Below are 7,497 nucleotides of genomic sequence, written 5' to 3'. Positions count from 1 at the left end.
AGTCATAAAAGCTGAATTCACAGGCTACAGAAAAACAGTCGTTTCCCCTGGTTGATGATAGAGGTCTTCAGGCGCGGTAATTGTTCATCGTTTTATGAATGTGCCGAGGGCTCTACCCCAGGTTCCCTGGGAGAAAGGCAGGACTGAGCTCCCCCAGCCCTGCTGAAGGAGGCGATTATCCTGCAGCTGCGGGTGTGAGCACAGCCTCCCACAGACCCCATTACTGTGCCGTCCGTCCGCGTCTACAATGAAGGGAAGATGTGATTTAGAGGCTCTGAGAAGAAACACGTTCAGAGCCTTCCCCATCAACGTGCTCGCAGCTGACCTCAGGAGCGGCTGAGCGTGCACAGGCTGCTGTTCCAGGGGCCTTTGTGATTGTCAGAAAATTAAAGCTCAGGCTTCCTAGTAAAAGCATTGGAAGAGCATCACCAGTTGCTGGACTTATTAGTCAGAAGGAGAGCTGCGAAGATGGAGATAAAAAGCAGAAAACAGTTTAATTTGCAGAGCCGAGCCCCAGGGCGCGGAGAGGCGCCTGTAATTACAGTGGCGGCCAGCCCTCCTGGAGGTGGCTCCAGGCTGCCTGCGCGGAGGGCGGCTGGGAGGGCCCAGGGCTGGGAGGGAGAGGAAGGCACTGGGAATGGTCTGAAAAAGGACCAGAAACGAAGCTGTAGGTGCCGAGGCCTTGGTTCTGAACGGATTAGGGCAGAGCCTTCCCAGACACAGCCTGCAGGGTTAATGCACTTTCTCATCGACGGAGACGCAAGGTGCTCATAAATGATGTTCAGAGAGAAATAGCAAGGGGAGATTTATAACAATTCAAGGGAATAATCAACTCGGGGAGAATGGCTCTGTCTTAGGAGCTTTTCACTCTGGAGAGGTGGCATTGCCTCAGCAGATGTGAGGCCGTCAGCTGGGGTAACAGCGAGTTGACACAAGAATGCTGTCCTGGGGAAATCAGCCCAGAATTGAGACCCGGGAAGGGGTGGGCCTTTTAACCGCTGGGAGAACCTGGCCTGGCCGCCTTGTTCCCTCACAATCCCCAAAGCTCCAGGGCCCGCACTCTGTTCCCAAGCTGGGGTCACATTTACTGCTGGCTCCAGGCCAGACTGGGCCACAAGGACAAGTTGGCTGTGGAAGAGGCCACGACTGGCTCAAGAGATGTGTGGCCTCCGGAGGGAGAAAGAAGGCTGGGCTGAGGTCCCCATGCTCATTGAGCTGCAGAGAAGGAAGGGGCCTCTCACAACTGCAGAGGTGCTGGCAGGGCAAGGACAGTGGTCCTTAGAACACAGCCCTCCCCAGAGCGGAACCCTGGAGACCTCACAGGGGAAGGTCTGGCCCGACCTTCGGAGGGGCCGTGCGCAGGGCGGCATGGAGGAAAGGGAAGGGCGAGTCAGAAGGGGAGTGACTGCAGCCTCTGCTGCAGGAACAAGCGCAGGGGGCTGGACAACAGCCCGAGGCCAAGTGCCCTCCCCGGTCAGTGCCTCAGTCATGGTGGCCGACGTTCTGAGGGGGACCAACCTCTGTGCCTCCTCACCTCCTGCCCAGGGGCTCATTTTCCCAAGGGGCTTGGCCGACTGCCCACAGGCTGGAGATCCCTGGACCCCCGAGAGGGTGCTGGCCAGGTGGGGAGCCTTTCCAAGGACGGCAGCAGGCAAGAGCATGCCCTTCTCTGAGAAGAGCCCTCAGTCCTATTTCCACCCCTTCGAACATGGAAGGCAGCAGGCAAGAGCATCCCCTTCTCCGAGAAGAGCCCTCAGTCCTATTTCCACCCCTTCGAACACCAGCCCTGCCTCCCCTCCAGCCCAGGATGGGTAGACGCAGGCCTGCAGTGCCTGGCTCAGATGCTCGTGGAGTCCAGTCTCCTGCCCACAAATTGCTGTGTCCAATAGCAGCCCATCCATCGGGACCACGGCCATCTCCGCACTTCAGACAAAGCTCCTCCTCCTTGATTAAGTGGGAATGGAGGGCCAGTTTCAAAGGCAATGAGCCTTCCCAAAGCAAAGGACTTAGGATTCCCAGGTAGGGGGTCCCTGGCCTCCCAGCCACCAGGGTGACTCCTGACTGCTGAACCAAAGCTGGGGTCAGATGCCACACGTGAAACATGGCAGGAGGTGTCTGGCTGGCTGGCAGGGGAGTCTGTGCCTATTCTCTTCTTCAAACTATAAAAAATACAACAAATTCAGCAGCCCAGAGGGAATAAGAGAAAGACCCTTCACTCCTCCCCACTGTGGGGTGTAGATGCATGCAGTACACTGAGAGGTTCCGGCTCCTGGCCTGCCCGTCCCCAGCCCCAGCTCAGGAACTGGTTCATCTGCAGGCCCTAGGAGCTCAGCCATGGCTCCCAGCGCGTGGTGGCTGATGGGCAGAGCTCGGATGGTCTGGGTGTGAACCGGAATGGAAGGAGCTCAGCCATGGCTCCCAGCGCGTGGTGGCTGATGGGCAGAGCTCGGAGGGTCTGGGTGTGAACCGGAATGGAAAGAGCTCGGCCGTGGCTCCCAGCGCGTGGTGGCTGATGGGCAGAGCTCGGACGGTCTGGGTGTGAACCGGAATGGAAGGAGCTCGGCCGTGGCTCCCAGCGCGTGGCGGGCTGTCCTGGGATGCTGGGACCTGCAGTCAGCTGCCACTCTGGTCCCAATGGTTGGGGGACATGAGGCTGGTTCAGGGGGAGGTTTGGGAACAAGGGGAGTTGGGGAGCAGGCGCCGCGCCAGGTGGGAGGTGGAGCCTAGCACGGCAGTGCTGCTGAACACCAGCTACAGTTCCCTGAGGGTCACCCAGCCAGTCCATGCCTGCTGCAGAGAGGCCTGGGGCCAGGCTCGCCTGCTGGACAGAGACCCCTCTGGGAGAAGGTGAGTTTCTGGGAGCAGGGGCCTCCCAGCCAGGCCCTCCCAGGCTGTGGTTCTGATCGAGCCTGCCTCCCCCACTCCCCTGCAGCCCATTGCAGCTGGCTCAGGCCAGTGGACTGGACCAGAGCTGAAATCCCGGAGCCCTTCATGAGTCCCAGACGCTTGGCAGGCCCTACAGCCAGGCCAAGGCACACACGTTTGTTCTAACTGTGGATCTGGTGTCTGTGGGCAGAGCATAGGCTGCGAGGGACTCAGGCCGTGTTTGGTCCAGCAGCAGAGACGTTGCCTCGGGGATGAGGCAGACGGCACCAGAGCTCCCCAGGGCCAGGGCAACAGGGGAAGAGGCAGCATGCCTGGGGCCTCCAGGAGGCAGACAGGCTGGGCCTGCGGCTGCGCTGACACCCACGTGCCTTTCCAAGGTGCTGACCTGCAGAGGAGCCAGGGGAGCCATTCGACGGGAGGAGACCCCATCCATTCCCTCCTCAAACTGCTCCGTGCAACCTGGGAATGACTCTGAACTCGTGTGCCCTTGAGGGTGGGAGCAGGGACTGCAGAGGCTCCTGGCTGGGGAAGGACGTCAGTGGCTCTGGTGGCAGATCGGTTAGAGCCCCGCGGTGGAGACAAGCTGCCGCCCAGAGAATCGTGCTGCCTCATGCTCCCAGCAGAGGCGGGCGTGCTGGTGGGAGGATTCCCCGTTTATTCCAGACACCCTCCGTGGGCTCATCTTTTCCACAACACAGCCCAGGAGGGAAGGAAATCGCAGTTCATGCTATAGACACGAAAGAGATCGTGACAGCTGCGATACGAATTCCTAGTTAGCCACCTTGCTGGTCCAGGAAAGACAGCAGAAACAGAATAAAGGAAAGCTAGAAAGCAAACAAAACAAAGCAATGTCAAGCCCGCAGTTGGCTGTTGTGAGCTTCTGTGGTGCCATTGTGAGCTGCGTGGTGCCGTTGTGAGCTTGTGTGGCGCCGTTGGGAGCTGCGCGGTGCCGTTGGGAGCTGTGCGGCGCTGTTGTGAGCTTGTGTGGTGCTGTTGGGAGCTGCGTGGTGCTGTTGGGAGCTGTGCGGCGCTGTTGGGAGCTGTGCGGCGCTGTTGTGAGCTTGTGTGGTGCTGTTGTGAGCTTGTGTGGTGCTATTGTGAGCTTGTGTAGTGCTATTGTGAGATTGCATTGCATTGTTGTGAGCTGCATGGTGCTGTTGGGAGCTGTGTGGTGCTTTTGTGAAGTGCATGGTTCTGTTGTGAGCTTCATGTTGCTGTTGTGAGCTTGTGTGCTGTTGTGAGCTTGTGTGGTGCTGTTGTGAGCTGTGTGGTATGAGCTTGTGTGGGGCTGTTGTGAGCTTGCATGGCATTGTTGTGAGCTGCGTGGTACTGTCGTGAGCTGTGTGGTGCTGTTGTGAGCTTGTGTGGTGCTGTCGTGAGCTGCGTGGTACTGTCGTGAGCTTGTGTGGTGCTGTCGTGAGCTGTGTGGTGCTGTTGTGAGCTTGTGTGGTGCTGTTGTGAGCTTGTGTGGTGTTATTGTGAGCTTGTGTGGTACTGTCATGAGCTGTGTGGTGTTGTCATGAGCTGTGTGGCGCTGTTGTGAGCTGTGTGTTGCTGTTGTGAGCTTGTGTGGTGGTGTGAGCTTGTGTCGTGCTGTTGTGAGCTGTGCGGTGTTGTGAGCATGTTTGGTGCTGTCACGAGCTATGTGGTGCTATTGTGAGCTGTGTGGCGCTGTTGTGAGCTTGTGTGGTGCAGTTGTGAGCTGTGTGGTGCTGTCGTGAGCTGTGTGGTGCTGTCGTGAGCTGTGTGGTGCAGTTGTGAGCTGTGTGGTGTTGTCGTGAGCTGTGTGGTGCAGTCGTGAGCTGTGTGGTGCAGTCGTGAGCTGTGTGGTGCAGTCGTGAGCTGTGTGGTGTTGTCGTGAGCTGTGTGGTGCTGTCGTGAGCTGTGTGGTGTTGTCGTGAGCTGTGTGGTGCTGTCGTGAGCTGTGTGGTGTTGTCGTGAGCTGTGTGGTGCAGTTGTGAGCTGTGTGGTGCTGTCGGGAGCTGTGTGGTGTTGTCGTGAGCTGTGTGGTGCAGTTGTGAGCTATGTGGCGCTGTCGGGAGCTGTGTGGCGCTGTTGTGAACTGTGTGGTGTTGTGAGCTTGTGTGGTGCTGTTGTGAGCTGCGTGGTGCTGTCGTGAGTTTGTGTGGTGTTGTGACTGCCCAGGGTGACGCAGCGTTGACCGATGATGAGGCACCTGATACAGATAAGTCCTAACATATTCCCTGGTGCAATTTACCAGAAAGGCTGAAAGGCTGGGCCGCACTGCAGGGTCCCTCACCAAGGGAAAATCTCCCCAGGGCATGGATGGGGTTTCCGGCTGTGTCACGTGGCTCCTGCCACCACTCAGTGAAGCCCTAAGGGTCCTCTGGCTTTAGAGTTTGATAATTTGCTCCGATTGCCTCTAACAGAGGGCCTGTCTCCATCCACCCCATCACCACAGGTGGGTCAGTCGCTCCAGGTGGGACAGACATCGGCTGCACAAGGACCACGGCAAATCTGCCCCCAGGACGCTTCCAAAGAGGGCAGTGGGGTCACTCAGTGCCCGTGAACGCTCAGGGTCACTCAACGTCTGTGAACGCTCAGGCACCATGCTGAGTAGCCACCAGGTCAGCAGCCCCGGGTGCGGCCCCCAGACAGGAAGGGTGGGCTCCTGCTTTAGCCTGGCATTGTCTTTGCTTCTGTTCTTCCTTCTGGTGACTTCCACCTTGGAACCTGGGAGCTGGAACGGTGCACACCCCAGTGTTGTCAGAAACATCCTCCAAAGCCTCCATACACTGCTCCCCTTGGAAGGACAGGAAGAGGCTCTATCTCCGACTCCCTGAGGGATCTCACCCCTGCTGGGCAGGTAAGTGGCAGACCTGGGACAGAAGACTGTGAAAAGTGGCAGAGGCCAGGAGCAGGGCAGGGAGCAGGGCAGGGGGCAGGGCAGGGGGCAGGGAGCAAGGCCGGGAGCAGGGCAGGGGGCAGACCAGGGGGCAAGGCCGGGAGCAGGGCCGGGAGCAGGGCCGGTGTCCGGCATTAAGTGGCAAACATGCTCACGGGAAGTGTAGCTCTGGGCACAGGACTCACAGCCAGTAAATGAGCCAAATCCCTCATTTACACCATTCACAAAACTGGATCCCACTGAGGTTAAAGCTCTAAGCAGAGAAACAAGAATTCCAACGTGACGGGAGAAAGAAGAGTGTCCGTATGGTCCTGCGGGCAGAGAGCATCTTCTTGCATATAACAGAAAAACTGGCACAAAAGAAAAGAACCATGAGTACGACAGCATCAATATGATGGGCGTGTAGAGAAGCCTCGAGACACGAGTAGCAGAGTGAGACCGACTGTTCGTAGGAAGGGGCTGGCACAGTGGGTGAATCCAATAGCACTTCACAGGTGCGAGAAGACAATTCCTCCGCTGTGGGGAGAACACACAGCTGTGAAGAAAATGGCCAAAGAAATATGAGCAAAACTTACAAAAGCAGAAATGCAAATTACCAAGAAGCATTTAAAAGCTGCACAATCTCACAACAGATCAGGGAACTGCAATGGAAAACAGTCTGATTTTTTTCCCATTAGATTAGAAGAAATGAAAACGTTTAATGTCAAACATTAGAGGAAATTGGTGCATAAATGGTTTTTTAAAAAGTCAGAATTCGTCATCTCAAAATAAATTCATCAAATTGATTACATTAAAATTGCACTGACTCTGTGATGCATCAGTTTCTTTTCTCAGCATTTACCCTAGGGAAGAATGGACGATGAGCAGGGGATGATGAGCAGGGAAGCAGCTGAAACATTGGCAAGGCAGAGACCACGGCAGAGGCCACGTCAGAGACCACAGTGGAGGCCATGTCAGAGACCATGGCAGACGTCATGACAGAGGTCATGCCAGAGATCCCCTGGGAGCAGAGGGAGTGCCCACCCGCAGGACGTGGGGGAGCAAGGCTGCAGCTGTGGGGAGCACTTGGGCACATCACAGCGTGGGCATGGCAGACGAAGACATGCAGGCCACACGCAGGAAGGCACAAACGCACCGGTCACAGTGTCAGGGGAGCACTGGGTGGTGTCACAAGGGATGTGAGCTTTTGTCTGTTGTGTGTCTGTATGTGTGTTTTAACAGTAAGATTGGGTTCGGGCAAAATCTAAGGGAATAAAAAGCAGGGGAGTGGCTGTGTGTGAATCTGGAGCACAGGTGGCCATGCAGTGACATTAAAATTAGGTCAAAGGAAAGACTAGAGCCAGGGGCGAAGGCGGGAGCGTGGTAGGAAGTGGGGACGGCCTGGCCAAGGCCCCGCCAGACCACAAAGCTCAGGCCCAGACCGCAGAAGGCCGATAAGAGCGTTCCGGAAATCAGCTCTGTCTCGGAAAGAGCCAGGCCCATGGGCTCCTGGCCGTGGGCAACCAAGGCTGAGTCAAAGCCACGTTCTCAAGAGAATCCAGTGCAATTATGCAGAGACTCATTTAAAATGACAAGTACTTTTTAAAAGTCACTCTCTGAAAATGACATTCAAACCAATTATCATTAAGGGAAGATGTAAGTTAGCTTTGTTTAAAAAAAAAAGAAGGTGGAGAAGAATAAAAATCTGTTTTTAGATACTTTGTATGTTGCAGTTTAGAAATACTCCTGCTGAATAAAACCTACAG

General features: G+C 56.2%; 1 annotated feature.

Moving 5' to 3' along the window:
* Positions 4,756 to 5,257: an enhancer, noted in NCBI's record as "H3K4me1 hESC enhancer chr6:170406887-170407388 (GRCh37/hg19 assembly coordinates)". NCBI's record gives its function as "activates a minimal SCP1, AML or CMV promoter by ChIP-STARR-seq in primed H9 embryonic stem cells {active_cell/tissue: H9 hESC(primed)}" and the evidence as "EXISTENCE:reporter gene assay evidence [ECO:0000049][PMID:30033119]".

Source organism: Homo sapiens, chromosome 6 (assembly GCF_000001405.40).
Source record: "Homo sapiens chromosome 6, GRCh38.p14 Primary Assembly".
In the NCBI taxonomy this organism is placed as follows: domain Eukaryota; kingdom Metazoa; phylum Chordata; class Mammalia; order Primates; family Hominidae; genus Homo; species Homo sapiens.
The sequence above is the reverse complement of the archived record's forward strand: the minus strand, read 5'-3'. Positions and strand labels throughout refer to the sequence as shown.